We start from the raw sequence: 16,821 nt of genomic DNA on the forward strand, positions 1-16,821 counted from the left end.
GAATTCAGCCTTGGGATGTGGAGCTGTCTCCATGCAGTGCTGGAGCTGATTGATTCCCAACAGCAAGATCGATACTGGTGCCCACCCCTGCTGCATCGTGCCGCCATTGCCTTTTTGCATGCTCTGTGGCAGGATCGGAGGGACAGTGCCATGCTGGTCCTCCGAACCAAGTAAGTCTGCCTCTGGGAGTAGTTTCATTGTTCTGGTCTATAAAATGGGAGTAATAATAGCTCTTATCCCAGAGGTTTGTTGTGACAGTTCACTGGGAATAAGAGTGCTTAGTCCTGGTTCAATACCTGGGAGTTTTACACTAATTCTCTTTCTAATGCTGCTGCAAGTATTAAGGATCTTTAAATATTAAGCACCTGGAAGGTTCAGTTGCTTTTGTGTTCCTGCCTTTTGCTAACTAGCTGCATCAAAACTCATTATTCTTGAGAAACAGTAGATTCAGGAGAGAGGCGCTTGCTCAAGTCACTGGATTGAATGAAACATTCCGTTCTATTGGACCTGCTGGCACAAAGGGAAGGAGTGTTAAAAGGCTAAATTTGGGAGTCTGCTGTCTTATTTCCCTCCCTCCTCTTCTGTGGGGCTTTTGGGAATCTACAGTGGAAGGAATCTTGAAGAGTTTTTATTGATCAACTCTATAATGCATAAGTGTGATTCATGAGAGGAAAATGTAATTTTATCTATGGAAACCTTTCATTTATACGGGAACAACTGACTTATCAGACACATATTAGGATTGAGACTGGTAAAATATGAAGTGACCACCAAAGGGAGCTTGAGAGAGGAGAAAATGACTGTGAGAGGGAAAAAGTTATGATTTCAAACATTTATTTCCTTTTTAGACCCAAGTTTTGGGAAAATTTAACCAGTCCGCTGTTTGGAACCCTTTCTCCTCCCTCTGAAACATCAGAGGTAAGCTGTGGCAGAGGGCAGGATGGTGGCTACAAGTCCCTTGGAGGAAAGGCTGTGGGCTGTGAGATGGGGCCGTAGACAATGATACCTCCCCTAATTAAACAACAGAATGTTCCCTTCACTAGAAACGTCTTTCTCAGGGAAGTGCCAGCTTTCTGTCCCTTTGATGTCTTGCTTTGGGAAGGAAAGTGGTTTGCGCTACTGTGTGTTGGTGGCTCTGTGGTCTTCTCCATTCAGTTGGAGACGTTGTGGACCTGACGCCTCTGCTCTTGCAAGTCAGGACATTCACATTCAACAGGGGTTGTGCTAACTTGTTCTGCAAGTGTTGGGCCCCTGCTCTGTTCCCTGTTTGATATACTGGGGGAGATCAGTGATCAGAGATGTGATAATTGCCTGTTCTGCTATCTCCACAGCCCAGCATCCTGGAAACCTGTGCCCTAATCATGAAGATAATTTGCTTGGAGATATACTATGTAGTAAAGTGAGTACTTTCCCCTCTTGAGATTTTAACTGAAGGTTGGGGGAGTGGGAGTTGGTGGCCTACCACTGGGTGCATGGCTGGAAGAGCCAAGGCAGAGGAGAGAACTGGTTTGGAACCATTCATGGAAGGCCAGTGAGCTGTGTTCCTGGCCAATCCACCGATGGCATTTATGATTGTCAGAAAGAGTTATTGTGAAGCAAACTCCATGCAACTGGGATTTTATGGAGGAGGAATCCTGGAAAGGCCTCAGCCTAACCCACACGTTGGAGGTGTCCTGGAGCCGTCTGCCTTTAAGCCCATGCAAGGTCGTTTTCTCTGCCTCAACAAGGGTCTGTACCCATTATATTCCCATCTGCTTTCAAAATCTAACTGGAGGTTTTTTCTTGACACTGTAGGGGTTCATTAGACCAGTCATTAAAGGATACACTGAAGAAATTTTCCATCGAGAAACGCTTTGCCTACTGGTCAGGGTATGTCAAGTCATTGGCAGTTCACGTGGCCGAAACAGAAGGCAGCAGCTGCACCTCCTTGTTAGAGTACCAGATGCTGGTGTCCGCCTGGAGGATGCTTCTCATCATTGCCACCACTCATGTAAGACCCTTTTGGGGAGAGTTTTCACTTTGGTACCTTAGCAATGATGTGTTGACATGAGCCTAGCAGATACAGCTCCTTGTGCGGAAGAATTAATCAGGGTTTATCCCTGAGAGCTAAACTGTAATAGGTTCTATGCTGAGAGATTGGGACTGTGGGGTATTTGAGGGTGTTGGGTCCAGGAGACCATTAAGAGGAATGCAGAGAAGTGATTTGAAATCCTTTCAGAGTTCCTAAAGCCTCCTGTACCTCCCTTAGGCCTTGGCTGGGTCTTAGCTGCTCCCTGGCTGCATCTGCCTCTTGTGCAAAGGCATAACTGTCTTCTCGTGCTGTGTACCTTGTAGATGCTAGGTCAATAAATACTTGTTGACTAGTCAGCAGGGAGCTGTGACAGCTGCAGCAGCACCCTCTCTAAAAAGCAGTTTGTCATTGGTTCTAGAAACTGCATTTCCTGGTCTTAGAAAAAGAACAGAGGCCATTGTCTCTGTACTCTGTCTACTGGGAGTTGGTTTTGAGAGAGAGAGATAACATCTGGAAGAAATGCATTGTTCTTGGCTTTTTTGTGGTTTGACTCCGTCACGCTGTATCATAAGGACTTGGTATTGAAGTGTTCTTTCTTGGGGTATCCAGATTAATTTTTTTTTTTTTTTCTTGAGACGGAGTCTTGCTCCGTCACCCAGGCTGGAATGCAGTGGTGCGATCTTGGCTTACTGCAACCTCCGCCTTCCGGGTTCAAGGAATTCTCCTGTCTCAGCCTCCCAGGTAGCTGGGATTATAGGTGCCTGCCACCACGCCCAGCTAATTTTTGTATTTTTCGTAGAGATGGGGTTTCACCTTGTTGGTCAGGCTGGTCTCGAACTCCTGACCTCAGGTGATCCACCCACCTCGGCCTCCCAAAGTGCTGGGATTACAGGTGTGAGCCACCACGCTTGGCCCAGATTAATCTTTTGACTTCATGAACAACTTCAGCTTGATAGATGCCTCCTTTTTCCAAGCACCTCCTACATCTGTGAAATTTGTTGCCTAGTGCCAGACTGCCCACATGCTTGGAGCTTTGAGCCTAGGAGGGGCAGGTTTGTGGCTACTCTTGCTGTGGCATGGTGGTTTTGGACCCCTAAGGCTCCAAACACACTTAAAGGCTCACCTGTCTTTGAGAATGGTTGATTCCCCAGGGTATAACCTTTATGTCACCTGCCTTTTAGGCCCTAGTTAGGCAGCAGTTCTTGAATTGTAGCTCTGAAAATCCCACCATCCTCTTTCCCCAAAGGAAACCTATCTGGCTCTCTGTCTCACCTGTCTACCTATACAAAAGAAAAGAAAAAAAAAGAGAAAGAAACCTAAGTCCAGGATGTTGGTCACCCATTCATTCTCTTAATGGCATTAGTGGAACGCTTCCAGGCATTGAGATGCAGCAGTGAATAAGGCAGATAAGATCTTTGATCGCATAGAGAGTGCCCTATGATGGAGGAGGTAAATTATAAACAAATTTAGCAATAAAAAATATGGTTTCAGATAGTGATAATTTGCTGTGAAGGAAATAATTAAAGTGCTGTGGTAATGAACACATGAGATAGAAGTAGTCAGGGTGGCCTTCTCTGAGTGGTGATGTCCCAGCTGAGAGCTGAATGTGTGAAGAAGCCTTCCAGGTGGAGCCCGTGGAGGAGAGAAGTCTAGGCAGATGGACTTGCAAGTGCAAAGTTCCAGCAGTGGAAAAGAGCTTGATATGTTCATGAAAGAGGCAAGCAGGGTTGGACTAGAGTGAGCACAGATGGGACTGATACTACATCAGTTGGACCAGATCCTGTGGGGTCTTTGGACCATGTTGAAGAGCTTGGTTTGCGTTTCCCGGGCACTGGGAAGCCTTTCAAGGATTCTAAGCAGAGGGAGGACAGAGTCTCAAAGAGGAGGTGAACCTGGGCTTGATTCTGACCATATCTAAGGGTTGACAGAAGAACAGCAGGGCCTTCAAGCCCTATTTTACTTTATTTTTTAGGGAACAGGATCTCACTATGTTGATCAGGTTGGAGTGCAGTGGTGCAATCATGGCTCACTGCAGCCTCAACCTCCAGGGCTCACGTGATCTTCCCACCTCAGCCTCCCAAGTAACTAGGACTACAGGCATGCACCACCATACCCAGCTAATTAAACATTTTTTGTTGTTGTTGAGATAGGGTCTCATCATGTTGCCCAGACTATAAGCCCTATTTTATTTTATTTATTTATTTAAGACGGAGTCTCTCTCTGTCGCCAGGCTGGAGTGCAGTGGTGCGATCTCGGCTCACTGCAGCCTCCGCTTCCTGGGTTCAAGCAATTCTCCTGCCTCAGCCTCCCGAGTAGCTGGGACTACAGGTGCGCGCCACCATGCCTGGCTAATTTTTGTATTTTTAGTAGAGACAGGGTTCCACCGTGTTGGCCAGGATGGTCTTGATCTCCTGACCTCGTGATCCGCCCACCTCAGCCTCCCAAAGTGTTAGGATTACAGGCATGAGCCACCACGCCCGGCCTATATAAGCCCTATTTTAAATCAGGGAGACTGTTTTACCAATGACTAATTGCCTAGCAGAGGACCCCATGTTTCTTGGCCTCTAAAATCTGGAAAATTTTCCCAGCTGAAACCTTTTTCTGTTCCTTTGCAGGCAGATATAATGCACCTGACTGACTCTGTGGTGCGTCGCCAGCTCTTTCTTGACGTGCTTGATGGAACCAAAGCATTAGTAAGTGTGTCTGGGAGATTTTACATTTCTCCCAGGGAGGTTGTCTTTGAAGTCAAATAGCAGAGGTCATGAGTCTGCCAGCCAGCCGCACAAATAGTCAGGTCACAGGGCTCACGTTGGCCTGGGAGGCCTGAGACTGTAGTGGGTCAGCAGAGCTCTGCTGCTGCCATGCCAACCCTGGCTTCTCCCCCTCCACTCCACTCCTGTGAGCTCACTGCTGGGGAAGAAAGGCAATGAGGCCGGAGGTGCCCTGTGGATGGCATGCGAATCTTTCCACTGACTTCTGACTGGTGTGCTGTCTCCTTTCAGCTCCTAGTTCCAGCCTCAGTGAACTGCCTTCGCCTTGGCTCCATGAAGTGCACTCTGCTGCTTATCCTCCTCCGGCAGTGGAAGAGGTGAGGCTGTGCCAGGAGAGGCAAGCCCGAGGCCAGAGCCTTCTTGTCAGTGCCTGCTTGCCTTCCTGAAAGGGAGAAATAGTGGGTGGAAGCTGGGCTGGTTTTCCATCTTGAGGAATGGGAGTGACATAGCAGATAGGAGGGTGAGGCAGACTGGTGGATATCCTGAGATGGAGCAGGGGCAGTGTGTGGCCTTTTATGAGGTATTTTGTCTCACTCCCCACCCCGTATTCTTTTTTTTTTTTTTTTTTGAGACGGAGTCTCACTCTGTCGCCCAGGCTGGAGTGCAGTGGCGCGATCTCGGCTCACTGCAACCTCCACCTCCCAGGTTCAAGTGATTCTCGTGCCTCAACCTCCCTAGTAGCTGGGATTACGGGTGCGCGCTACCATGCCTAATTTTTGTATTTTTAGTAGAGACAGGGTTTCACCATGTTGGCCAGGCTGGTCTCGAACTCCTGACCTCAGGTGATCCACCCGCCTTGGCCTCCCAAAGTGCTAGGATTACAGGCATGAGCCACCACGCCTGGCCCACCCAGTATTCTTTCTAGAGAGTTAGGTTCTGTGGATGAAATCCTTGGACCCTTGACGGAGATCCTGGAGGGAGTGCTGCAGGCCGACCAGCAACTCATGGAGAAGACCAAGGCCAAGGTGTTCTCAGCATTCATCACAGTGTTGCAAATGAAGGAGATGAAAGGTGAGGGGCAGAGGCAGGGGGAGCAGCAGCTGCAGTCTGCCCACTCCTGCTGACAGCCAGGCAGGGCTTCCTTCAGCTTAGGGCCACACATTTCTTCTGGGACTTTTGAGTTTCCAGTCATGGAATTCTTACCCCAAGAAAGCTATTTTTTTCCCTCATGTGTCTCTCCCTCCTCTCCCACTGGACAGATGCTGTCCCTCCTAGCGCCCTAGTACATCTCCAGCCCCTTCCTAGGAAGGAAACCTTGGTGTACAGTGAGAGTTGGCCTGGTGAGCATGACAGTGTCCCTCCCTGTCTATTCTACAGTAAGTGACATCCCCCAGTACTCCCAGCTGGTGCTGAATGTCTGTGAGACCCTCCAAGAGGAAGTGATTGCACTCTTCGACCAGACCCGCCACAGTCTGGCATTAGGCAGTGCCACAGAGGACAAGGACAGCATGGAGACTGACGACTGTTCTCGGTCCCGGCACAGGGACCAGCGTGATGGGGTGAGACAGTGCCCTAGAAGGCCATCCGTCCTTTCCACTGCCCGCCAGCTCTGTGCCTGACTCTGGGGATAAGTAGTGATCAAGACAGATAGTCGCTGCACTTCTGGAGTTCACGGCCTGGTGGGAAAGGTTAATAGATCAGACACTGCAGAAAAGCAGAAGCAGCCCATTGTACTGCAGGAGAGAAGTGCAGGGAGAACTTAGTCTCACTTCTGACTTGAACTGGGACTTAGGTGCCTTTTCAGCAATGACTTAGAGATTGTAGCCGCGGGCAAATGCAGGATCCGAAGTGAAATAGGAAATGATGTAAGGCTTTTAAGCAGGGGAAAAAGTTGATCTGATTTTTACTCTAGAAAGATCACTCTGGACTTAAACTCCAGGCCTCAAGCCATCCTCCCAGTTCAGCCTTCCAAAGTGTTGGGATTACAGGCGTGCCCAAGAAAGATCACTCTGGATGCAGTATTGAATAGTATTTTTCAAATTGTGGGATCATGACCTATTAGAGAGAGTCTTGAAATTAGCACATTTTGTTACAACCAGTCTCGCTCTGTCGCCCAGGGTGGAGTGCAGTGGTGCGATCTTGGCTCACTGCAAGCTCTGCTTCCCAGATTCACGCCATTCTCCCACCTCAGCCACCCGAGTAGCTGGGGCTACAGGTGTCTGCCACCACGCCCGGCTAACTTTTTGTATTTTTCATAGAGACGGGGTTTCACTGTGTTAGCCAGGATGGCCTCGATCTCCTGACCTCGTAATCCGCCCGCCTTGATCTCCCAAAGTGCTGGGATTACAGGCGTGAGCCACCACGCCTGGCCACAACCAGCATTTTTTTAAAATAAAGTAGAATAAAGTGTTTAAGAAAATATCACTGTGCTTTGTGTGACATTAGGGTAGGTATTATTAGTGAAAAACTGTAAACGTGTACATGAGGATACAGTCTAAAAAGTCTTTATGGGCCGGGCACGGTGGCTAACGCCTGTAATCCCAGCACTTTGGGAGGCCGAGGCGGGCAGATCATGAGGTCAGGAGATGGAGACCATCCTGGCTAACACGGTGAAACCCTGTCTCTATGAAAAATACAAAAAATTAGCCGGGCGTGGTGGCGGGCACCTGTAGTCCCAGCTACTCGGGAGGCTGAGGCAGGAGGATGGCGTGAACCCAGGAGCGGAGGTTGCAGTGAGCCGAGATCGCGCCGCTGCACTCCAGCCTGGGGGACAGAGCGAGGCTCCATCTCAAAAAAAATGTCTTTATGACTCTGGGTCATGGCCAAAAAGAAGGTTGAAAGGCCACTGGTACAAGGATAGATTAGAGAGGATGGAGCAGGATTATTTAGGAGATGGTTGCAGTAGCAGAGCAGGAGGTGGCATCGGGCAGGGTCGTAGGGGTCCCTCAGACTCCATGTGGCAGAGTTGGTTGGAGTGTCCAACATGAGACGAGGTGGCTCTGACAAGGGTGGTGGCAGTGTGGGAGGTGGGAGGGAAGAGGCGGGGGTAGCTCTGGTCAGTTTAGGGTTGCTCATTAGATTGGCTGGAGTTGCTGCTGTTCATTGAGAGCTGGACATAGGAGAGGGGCAGGGTGGGAGAGAGTGTGCATTCTGTGTTACTCAAGCTCACTTAGCAATGTGTGTAACCAAGCAGGTCTTGGGCAACCAGGCCCACCGCTGCCTGTCGTCCTCTTCCTCCTCCTCTTCTTCTTCCCCCTTTTACTCATCTTTGCCTCTGGGCAGGTGTGTGTCCTGGGCCTGCACCTGGCCAAGGAGCTGTGTGAGGTAGACGAGGATGGTGACTCCTGGCTGCAGGTAACCCGCAGGCTCCCCATCCTACCCACCCTCCTCACCACTCTAGAGGTGAGCCTTCGCATGAAGCAGAACCTGCATTTCACTGAGGCCACATTGCATCTGCTCCTCACCCTGGCTCGCACTCAGCAGGTAGGAGGCCAGCCCGAAGGCAGGAGGGAGCGTCCTTGCTTGCCTGGGTGGGTTCTGACAATCCCAGAAGCTGTGATCTAGCCTGAGAGCCCTACCTACCCTAGGCAGGGCAGGGGCAGGCTCCATCTCATTTCCTGTCTTTCCCTCCTCCCAGGGAGCCACAGCAGTGGCTGGAGCTGGCATCACCCAGAGCATTTGTTTGCCCCTTCTGAGTGTGTACCAGCTGAGCACCAACGGCACAGCACAGGTGAGTGTCAGGAGCTTGCCAGGAGGCCCAGCCTGACCACCCTACAGTTCCAGTTGAAAAGTGTCCTCCCCTACCTTTCCCCGGAAGTTGCTTTCCTCTAAATTGCCTAATACACTGATGGTGAGGAATCTTCCCTGCCCCCAGGCGGATCTCTAGCAAGAGAAACTCACCACTAAAAGGCACCGCCTGGCCTTTGTGCACTACCTCTGGGAGATGGGATGGATTCTTCCCATTGCAGGTGTGAGGAAGACTAAACCAGATTGATAACACATCCCTGGACCAGGCCTCTAGCCAAGGCAGCTGTCCTCTCCTGTCATTCCCAAAGACAGTGTGTCATTGTGACTTCTCCACCCCTGCACCACCAGACCAGGACTGGGAGAAGGGAAGTGGGTGGTCTGGGGGCTTGATGGGGCCTCAGCACCCTGCCCTCTGTGTCCCTTGGTTATTTCTAGTTTAACAGATACCTCCTAATTTCAAAAGAGTAGTCTTCACCTGAACCTCTCTCTCTCATGAGAGTCGTGAAGTATTTGGTCATCTAGCCCAGCTACCCCTTAGAGGAAGTATGTAGGGGCCAGAGCAGGGCAGTGACATGTCCAGGTTCGCATAGCTCGTCAGTGGCAGACCTGAGTCTGGAACCCTGGGTCTTGTGTCTCAGCCTGGTGCTCTTTCCTTGAATCTGCTGGTGTTGGCCCCTTTCTGGCCCTGGTGGCCAGACAGTGGCTGTGTCTATTCTGGGAGATCTTTTCCTTTCAGCGCAGCTGGGCTGCCTTAGTTGCTGTACTACAAGGAGGTCCTGCCTCTCAGCAGGGTTCCTGAGCTTGTCTGCTGTTTGTATCTTAGACACCTAGTGCCTCTCGGAAGTCCCTGGATGCCCCCTCTTGGCCAGGAGTCTACCGCCTGTCCATGTCCCTGATGGAGCAGCTGCTCAAAACTCTGCGCTACAACTTCCTGCCTGAGGCCCTGGACTTCGTGGGTGTCCACCAGGAGCGGACCTTACAGGTGAGGGGCTGCCTGCATTGCAGGGGTGGGAGTTTCAGGGTAAAAAAGGTACTGGGCCATTCATGGGGCAGGTGGGTGTGGAGCCTGGGCCTCAGTAGCGGAGGGTTGTCGATGCCTTCATTTTTGAGATGCTCTAAGTACTCTGCTGGCTCACTGGCCAGCTAGTCTGCTGAAGGACGGGAACGGTCTCGGGTCAGAATCCTGGTTGTACCACTAAGCCATTTCTTTGCCAACTCAGCATTTGGGGGCCTGGGACGTTGCCTCTCCACAGGAGGGTAGGTGTGGGTATGTCAGGTCCCTCAGCCATCCCCATCTTTCCCTGATGTGTGCTTTCCTCCCAGTGCCTCAACGCAGTGAGGACAGTGCAGAGTCTGGCCTGCCTGGAGGAGGCGGACCACACCGTGGGTTTTATTCTGCAGCTCTCTAACTTCATGAAGGAGTGGCACTTCCACCTGCCTCAGCTCATGCGTGATATCCAGGTGGGGGCCCAAGATGGTGTCTTGGAGTCTGGGGTAATGCTTGGAGACAGGGAGGCTGTGAGGTCTCACTGGGGCACTCCTAGTGAATTGCAGGATGTTCCTGAACGGGGGCTTTTCCCTTGGGGAGCACAGGGTTTGCTGTCATGTGCTTACTCTGGCTAAATGTTTCCTTCCATAGTCAAGGGCAGCCATGTAGGTTAAGAATTTGGACTTTTATCAGTTAGATCTTGGTTCAGATCCCTTAAGAATACACTTGGGGCCGGGCATGGTGGCTCACGCCTGTAATCCTAGCACTTTGGGAGGCAGTCAGGAGTTCGAGATCAGCCTGGCCAACATGGTGAAACCCTGTCTCTACTAAAAATACAAAAATTAGCTGGGCGTGGTGGCACGTGACTGTAATCCCAGCTACTCGGGAGGCTGAGTTGGGAGAATCGCTTGAACCTGGGAGGCGGAGGTTGCAGTGAGCTAGGATCGAACCATTACACTCCAGCCTGGGTGACAGAGCGAGACTCCGTCCCAAAAAGAAAAAAAAAAAAAAATGGCCGGGTGCAATAGGCTCACGCCTGTAATCCCAGCACTTTGGGAATTCAAGGCGGGAGGATCATGAGGTCAGGAGCTCGAGACCAGGCTGGCCAACATGGTGAAACCCCATCTCTACTAAAAATAACAAAAATTAGCTGGGTGTGGTGGCACACGCCTGTAGTCCCAGCTACTCAGGATCGGGAGGCTGAGGCAGGAGAATCGCTTGAACTCAGGAGGTGGAGGTTGCAGTGAGCCGAGGTCACGCCACTGCACTCCAGCCTGGTGACAAAGTGAGACTCCGTCTCAAAAAAAAAAAAAAAAAACTAAACTAAACAAAACCAAAAAAACACACACAACTGGAGCTGGGAACCAGCTGGAGAAGGGAGGGGTGAGGAAGGAACACAGGCTCCAGAGCCAGGCAGGCTTCTCTTATCTGCTGGTTGTATGACCTTGGCCAAGTCACTTGTTACTTGTAACCTTTTATTCTTTTCCTATAAAATGGAATCAGCCATAATCCTCATCTTATTTTATTTATTTATTTATTTTGAGACAGAGTTTTGCTCTGTCGCCCAGGCTGGAGTGCAGTGGTGCCATCTCGGCTCACTGCAAGCTCCGCCTCCCGGGTTCACGCCATTCTCCTGCCTCAGCCTCCCGAGTAGCTGGGACTACAGGCGCCCGCCACCACGCCCGGCTAATTTTTTGTATTTTTAGTAGAGACAGGGTTTCACCGTGTTAGCCAGGATGGTCTCGATCTGCTGACCTCGTGATGCGCCTGCCTCGACCTCAAAAGTGCTGGGATTACAGGCATGAGCCACCGCACCCGGCCTCATCTTCTTTACTTTAGGACCTTACAATATACCAGGCACCTAGCTGGGTCTCAGGGAGACAGTCCAGTCCTGAGCCCTGCTGGCCCAAGTTTGTAGCCCTGAGTACTTAGTGGCTATAGGGGCTTTAAGCTGGAAAGTGGCCAGGGGAGCATGAGGGAAGGAGGGAGAGAAGGGGAGCATGAGGGAAGGAGGGAGAGAAGGGGAGCATGAGGGAAGGAGGGAGAGAAGAGCAGCAGCGAGTGAGGAGCGCATGGGTGTTACATGGAGGGCTATTGGGTTGGTCTGGTTGGGTGACTGGGCTGCTGACAAGAGAATCCGCTCATCTCTCCTGTGTCTCTCCCAGGTCAACCTGGGTTACTTGTGCCAGGCATGTACCTCTCTCCTGCACAGTCGAAAGATGCTGCAGCATTACTTACAGGTAAGCGTCCTATGCCATGAGGTCCTGGAATACCTCACGCTAGCTTCCCAAGCTCCACCTTCATTTCTTGACTCTCCTTAGAACAAAAATGGGGATGGCCTCCCCTCAGCTGTTGCCCAGCGAGTCCAGAGGCCACCGTCTGCTGCTTCTGCTGCCCCCTCCTCCTCAAAGCAGCCCGCTGCTGACACAGAGGCATCAGAGCAGCAGGCCTTGCACACAGTCCAGTATGGCCTTCTCAAGATCCTCAGCAAGACGCTGGCAGCCCTGCGCCACTTCACCCCAGATGTCTGCCAGATTCTGCTGGATCAGGTACTGCCCATCATCTGTTCAGCACCACCTCCCCTAAAGGCTCTGCTCTGCTGTGTACCGAGAGCTACCTGGGGCCTTAATTGGGTCCTGGATGGCTCTTGTCTTTTCTCGCAGTCCCTGGACCTTGCTGAATACAACTTCCTGTTTGCCCTGAGCTTTACCACTCCCACCTTTGACTCCGAAGTGGCCCCCTCCTTCGGGACCCTTCTGGCCACAGTGAATGTGGCCCTCAACATGCTTGGAGAGGTAAGTTGGTTCTGTCAGACACTGTCCTCTCCCCCCGGCTCCTCCCCCTGCCTGCCACTTCCCAGCTGACCTTGGGCATGTTGGGCATGGTACCTAGCCTCCCAAGCCTGCTCCTCTCTGTAAACTGAACATGACAGCACCTCTGAGAATTACTGTGAGGATTAAATGAGGTAACTGATTAAATTTGCTTAGTGCAGGACATGCAAGTAGGAAGCTCTCAGTAAGTGGGAGCTGTTCCTGTTGTCTTAGTTTTTTACCCTTGCTTCTCTTCAGCTGGACAAGAAAAAGGAGCCCCTCACCCAGGCAGTGGGGCTCAGCACACAGGCAGAAGGGACCAGGACGTTAAAGTAAGTGCTCTTTCTGGGATTTGATAAGGGGCTGGGGCAGTCATGGGCCCACTGTTCTCAAGCTTGGCCAGCCTGGCCCTCTGCAGCAGTACCAAAAACCTGTGTCTCCTCCCAGGTCCCTCCTGATGTTTACCATGGAAAACTGCTTCTACCTGCTCATCTCTCAGGCGATGCGGTACCTTAGGGACCCGGCTGTGCACCCCCGGGACAAACAGCGGATGAAGCAGGAGCTCAGCTCTGAGTTGGTACGGATGGATAGGGATACGGAGGGCTGGACCAATAGGGCCAGAGCCCTGTGGGGTCCTGCCTGGCAACCCCCAAGGGTCAGAACAGTAGCCAGATGTGCTGAGCCTCACCAAGCCACTTTTTTTCTTGTAGAGCACGCTGCTGTCCAGCCTCTCGCGCTACTTCCGCCGGGGAGCCCCCAGCTCCCCTGCCACTGGTGTCCTCCCCTCGCCGCAGGGCAAGTCCACCTCTCTCTCCAAAGCCAGCCCTGAGAGTCAGGAGCCTCTGATCCAGTTGGTGCAGGCGTTTGTCCGGCATATGCAAAGATAGGGCAGTGCTGTTCTGCCCACCTACCCCTCTCCACCAGCCTACACTGCACCCTGGCTGGCAGGGGTGCTGCTGGCTGCTAGGGCCTATACAATGGAGGGCACCTCCTGTCACCCCCCTCCCGGAGTAGCCACGACTCCAGCCACCACCCACTGACGTTATTTTTATACTAGATGAAGAGGTCAACAGCAGGCATGGGGAGCCGAGTCTTCTGTGCTCAGGTCCTCACGCTGCAGACGCCCCCTAGAGGAACTTTCCTTCCTTTCCAGCATTCCCCACAGCACTGCCGGCCAGGGGAGAGGCGGCAGCCCAGCAGAGGGCTCTATGCACGGGTTTCAAACCTGTTTTCCACACTCTGTCTTTGCAGTTTTGGTAATTCTGTGGTCTATTTATACAGATATTAAAATCTTGTTTATAGACAGCTGTGTGATGTTTAACTTCAAAGCCCAGGGATGACAACGTGGCTCTCAGAACCTAGAAAACTCCCCTGGCCAGGCGCCTGGGAGTGGGGCTGCAGCCTCGGGGGAAGGCAGGTACTGATGGATGGCTAGTTCACCAGCATCTCCTCATTCCTGTCCTTGGGCTGAGGGTTTGGCTGGGTGGGCGCTGTCAGATATTCCCTTCCTTGGCCTGCGCTGGTCCTGTCCTTGACCCTGCTTTCATTGGCCCAGTGGGCTGAGCTCATCCCTGGGTGAGCCTTTCTTGAAGCTCTGTGCCTTCCTATTTATAGCCCCGTGCCCCCGTCATCCCCCGATCCCCTCTTCAGAAGCCCCAACAGTGGGGCCTACTGGCTGTTGGCCTTCTCAGGACTGAAGTCAGAATGCTAGGTCCTGCTAGGGGCCATCTAAAACACAGACATCACTTAGGGTTTCTAGAATCAGGCTGCCTGGGCTTCAGTCCCTGCTTGGCCACTTGCCAACTGTGGTCCCTTGAGGAGCTGACTGTCTTGCTGATCTCATCTGTGAAATGTGGACACTGAGGACGGCATGAGAACCCATGGCACGGGGGCACATGCTGGGTGAAACGCCCGACCTGCAGACAGCACTGACCGCTACCCACTTCTTGTGCTTGAACTGAACTGTCAGACGCATTCTACAGTCCGCTCCACAATCCAAATTTAGGAAACTTTTTCTTAGGAATAAAACGTTCCTTGTGCGGCTTCATGTCCAGGAACAGCACTGCCCTCTGAGAGGCACAGGCCCCGCAGAAGACAGGGAGGGCTGCACTTCTTCCCAACTAGAGAGCTGGGGGCCGGGGCAGCCACAGGGCCCCTGCTCACTCTGTGGAAGAGTGGGGCAGAGGGTGAGTCTACCTTTCCCTTTACCACCCTCAGGGCCAGGCCCTGACAGGAGCCCAGGTGACTCGCACACAAGGACGGTTTATTGGCTAGAGAGCAAACGCAGGCAGAAGTAAAAACACCAGATAAAAAGTGAGTGTGGAGAGGTGAAGACTGCGGCCGCTGGACTTGGCTTGAGCTGTGAGGGGTGGGAGGGGAGGATAGCACCGGAAGATGCTGCTCCGGGCCCAACACCAGCCCTGGCCAGGCTCTCCCCTCCCAGGGGCAGCGCCCAGTCCCCAGGGGCTGCCAGAGCCCTGTGTGCCTTGCCGCATTCCCCTGATGCAGCTTTTGGCAACTGAAAGGCAGGGCTCTCGCTGAGTGCACCTGGGGCTTCCTGAGCCCATCTGCGGCGGCCCCACCCTGGCCTAGGTGCTGAGTGCAGCTGCTGCAGACAGCCCCTCCCTCCTTAGTGGAGCCTGGAGGGTGGGGTGCTCGGGGATGCAGGCAGGGGCAGGGGCTCCAGAGCCACAGGTCAGAAGCAGGGCTGGGGGAGGGGTGGAGCCATTCAGCCTCAGGCACCCTCACAGCTAGGTGACTAGGGGCAGGGACAGAATGGGGTGAATTCTCCCCACTCTGAACAACTGTGTCACCAACAAACAAGTTAAGTGGCAGGGCTGCGCCCATCCTCTCCTGCCTAGGCCAGAATGCGGGGGGGATGGGGGCACCTGCCTAGCTGAGCAGTTCCAAGTAGGTGACAGGGACCTTGCCCTTCTTGTTGCCTCTCTCGCCAATGAGCCAGTCAGGGTCCATGCCAGGCAGGCTGTAGACAGTGATGAGCTGCAGAGATGGCAGTAGAGGACGGTCATGGCCTGGCCAAGGGTGGAACTGGCCCCAGGACTAAGTGGGGACAGAGCTGCCACCTCCCCATGGCCCGTGGCATGTGCTACACCTTCAGTGGCTGGCGCTCATCTCACTTGCTCCAGAGACCCAGCAGAGCAAGGATCCTTTCCTCAGAGCTGGATATGCCCTCTTTAACCTGCTGGTCCCCACTTTGCCAACAGGGCCCCTCCAGGCCCCATGTGCCTGATCCCAGTGCCCAGGCTGCTCCTCACCCAGCCCATTCCTGCCCCACCTTGCGGCACCGGGCCCACCTCATCAGCCAGCAGGGCCAGCTCACTGCTGTCGGCTGCCTCGTAGTCATAGAGCACCCGAGCTTTGCGGGTCCCACTGGCAGGGGGGGCCACCTCTTCCAGGCAGAGCGAGGCCTCCCCCGGAGGGGCCAGGCTGGCCACAGAGGGCACCACAGGCATAGTGGCCGCAGCAGTGGTGGGTGAGGTGCTGCTCAGGGGTGGGGAGGCGGGCTCTGTGGTGCCCACGAAGGTGCCGGGAAATCTGGAGAGGAGGGATACATCTTAGCAGGTGGGAGTCCCAGAAGGGACCCCAGAGGCAAACTCCCCTCCCCAGCCCCAGGAGCCCCACTCCAGCCCCGGCTACTCACATGGCACCCTGGGAGCTGGCAGCACAAAGGGAAAAGCAAAGCAAGGGAAGGGTGAGATGGCCCCACCCCCTGGTCCCTGCCATCCTCCCCACCCAGGCATTCCCTAGAAACCCTCAGGGGCTCCAGGGGACTTGGCCGTCAGTAAGGCCAGCCACTCCACCCTCATACACATGAGATGCCCGCACCCAGAGTGGGTTCCAGCAGAGCCCTCCAACCCAGCTTTGTGTCACAGGACTTGCCCAGAGGAGCTCATGCTGCCCACGGACAGGGTATGGGAGCCAGGGGGCCCCAGTGGGTTCAGCAGTGCTGGCCCCGCACCTGCCCAGCTGCTTCTGCAAGTCCAGCATGTGGCGGTAGCACTGTGCGTAGTAGGTTGTCTGAGACTTGACGAACTCGTGGAGGCAGCGCAGGTGGTTCACCTGCGGGGAAGAGGCCAGAGGCTGACTTCTAACCTCCCGCCCTCAGAACAAAAAATTCCGTCCCCATCCCCGTCCTCTACCAGACCTTGCTCCGGCATTCCAGGGTGCCCTGCCCCTGCGCCCACACCCTCCCCGGTGGGACTTGCTCTGTGAGGGCCATTCTGGGGCAGCCCTGCTGACCTTGTGGTTCAGGCACACCTGGTGCCTGCTGAGGGTTAGGTTTAGTGAGGGTGGGCAGTGGGACTCACGTGAGTGCTACTGATTCCCTCCAGCAAGAGACGGGTCACTTCTGCTTGCCGGTCAAACTCTGTCTGGGCCACGCGGAGCTCCTGCTCGGCCTGGGCAGGGCAGGGCAGCCATGAGCACCCACACACCACCCACCAGCTTCCCCGCAGTCTTCTCCTGGAGCCTACCTGGGAGCCGCCTGTCCCTTTCCCCTGGGAACACAGAGAGCCTTCTGGGTCTATGCCTGAC

At 53.5% G+C, this 16,821-nt stretch overlaps 2 protein-coding genes and 1 long non-coding RNA gene across 22 annotated transcripts in view, besides 3 other annotated features; 1 reads left to right on the plus strand and 2 right to left on the minus strand.

Moving 5' to 3' along the window:
- Nucleotides 1-13,572, plus strand: part of NUP188 (nucleoporin 188) — a 59,398-nt gene extending 45,826 nt beyond the window's left edge. The window contains exons 27-44 of the mRNA NM_015354.3: nucleotides 1-170; nucleotides 849-918; nucleotides 1,332-1,399; nucleotides 1,795-1,990; nucleotides 4,627-4,704; nucleotides 5,014-5,099; nucleotides 5,648-5,793; nucleotides 6,100-6,281; nucleotides 8,005-8,205; nucleotides 8,360-8,452; nucleotides 9,293-9,451; nucleotides 9,793-9,930; nucleotides 11,623-11,697; nucleotides 11,779-12,006; nucleotides 12,121-12,252; nucleotides 12,526-12,599; nucleotides 12,715-12,844; nucleotides 12,978-13,572. Of these exons, the coding sequence (NP_056169.1) occupies nucleotides 1-170; nucleotides 849-918; nucleotides 1,332-1,399; nucleotides 1,795-1,990; nucleotides 4,627-4,704; nucleotides 5,014-5,099; nucleotides 5,648-5,793; nucleotides 6,100-6,281; nucleotides 8,005-8,205; nucleotides 8,360-8,452; nucleotides 9,293-9,451; nucleotides 9,793-9,930; nucleotides 11,623-11,697; nucleotides 11,779-12,006; nucleotides 12,121-12,252; nucleotides 12,526-12,599; nucleotides 12,715-12,844; nucleotides 12,978-13,154 (2,403 nt within the window). The 3' untranslated portion in view covers nucleotides 13,155-13,572. The remainder of the gene's footprint in view (nucleotides 171-848; nucleotides 919-1,331; nucleotides 1,400-1,794; nucleotides 1,991-4,626; nucleotides 4,705-5,013; nucleotides 5,100-5,647; nucleotides 5,794-6,099; nucleotides 6,282-8,004; nucleotides 8,206-8,359; nucleotides 8,453-9,292; nucleotides 9,452-9,792; nucleotides 9,931-11,622; nucleotides 11,698-11,778; nucleotides 12,007-12,120; nucleotides 12,253-12,525; nucleotides 12,600-12,714; nucleotides 12,845-12,977) is intronic.
- LOC101929314 (uncharacterized) lies at nucleotides 130-13,040 on the minus strand. Of its 5 annotated transcripts, XR_007061810.1 has the most exons (4): nucleotides 12,956-13,039; nucleotides 11,696-11,773; nucleotides 366-510; nucleotides 130-207 (listed from the first exon to the last, which is right to left on the minus strand). It is a non-coding gene; the product is annotated as an uncharacterized LOC101929314 (long non-coding RNA). The 5 variants fall into 5 exon arrangements; XR_007061809.1 differs by having other exon boundaries at nucleotides 168-510; nucleotides 11,696-11,770; nucleotides 12,956-13,040; XR_930382.4 differs by having other exon boundaries at nucleotides 168-507.
- Nucleotides 13,081-13,140: an enhancer, noted in NCBI's record as "active region_29098". NCBI's record gives its function as "activates an Ori minimal core promoter by ATAC-STARR-seq in GM12878 lymphoblastoid cells {active_cell/tissue: GM12878}" and the evidence as "EXISTENCE:reporter gene assay evidence [ECO:0000049][PMID:35858748]".
- Nucleotides 13,261-13,330: an enhancer, noted in NCBI's record as "active region_29099". NCBI's record gives its function as "activates an Ori minimal core promoter by ATAC-STARR-seq in GM12878 lymphoblastoid cells {active_cell/tissue: GM12878}" and the evidence as "EXISTENCE:reporter gene assay evidence [ECO:0000049][PMID:35858748]".
- Nucleotides 13,512-16,821, minus strand: part of SH3GLB2 (SH3 domain containing GRB2 like, endophilin B2) — a 21,296-nt gene continuing 17,986 nt past the window's right edge. For 7 of the 16 annotated variants that reach the window (XM_005252101.4, NM_001438436.1, NM_020145.4 and 4 more), the window contains 4 exons: nucleotides 16,596-16,685; nucleotides 16,247-16,347; nucleotides 15,582-15,822; nucleotides 13,512-15,267 (listed from right to left, as the gene is read on the minus strand). In XM_005252101.4, coding sequence (XP_005252158.1) covers nucleotides 15,160-15,267; nucleotides 15,582-15,822; nucleotides 16,247-16,275 — 378 coding nt within the window. In that variant the 5' untranslated portion in view covers nucleotides 16,276-16,347; nucleotides 16,596-16,685 and the 3' untranslated portion in view covers nucleotides 13,512-15,159. Of the gene's footprint in view, nucleotides 15,268-15,581; nucleotides 15,823-15,928; nucleotides 15,944-16,246; nucleotides 16,348-16,595; nucleotides 16,686-16,821 lie in introns of all 16 variants that reach the window. The other 9 variants (NM_001438435.1, XM_006717189.3, NM_001287045.2 and 6 more) reach the window with 5 other exon arrangements.
- Nucleotides 13,551-13,700: an enhancer, noted in NCBI's record as "active region_29100". NCBI's record gives its function as "activates an Ori minimal core promoter by ATAC-STARR-seq in GM12878 lymphoblastoid cells {active_cell/tissue: GM12878}" and the evidence as "EXISTENCE:reporter gene assay evidence [ECO:0000049][PMID:35858748]".

This window comes from Homo sapiens, chromosome 9, assembly GCF_000001405.40.
Source record: "Homo sapiens chromosome 9, GRCh38.p14 Primary Assembly".
NCBI lineage: Eukaryota > Metazoa > Chordata > Mammalia > Primates > Hominidae > Homo > Homo sapiens.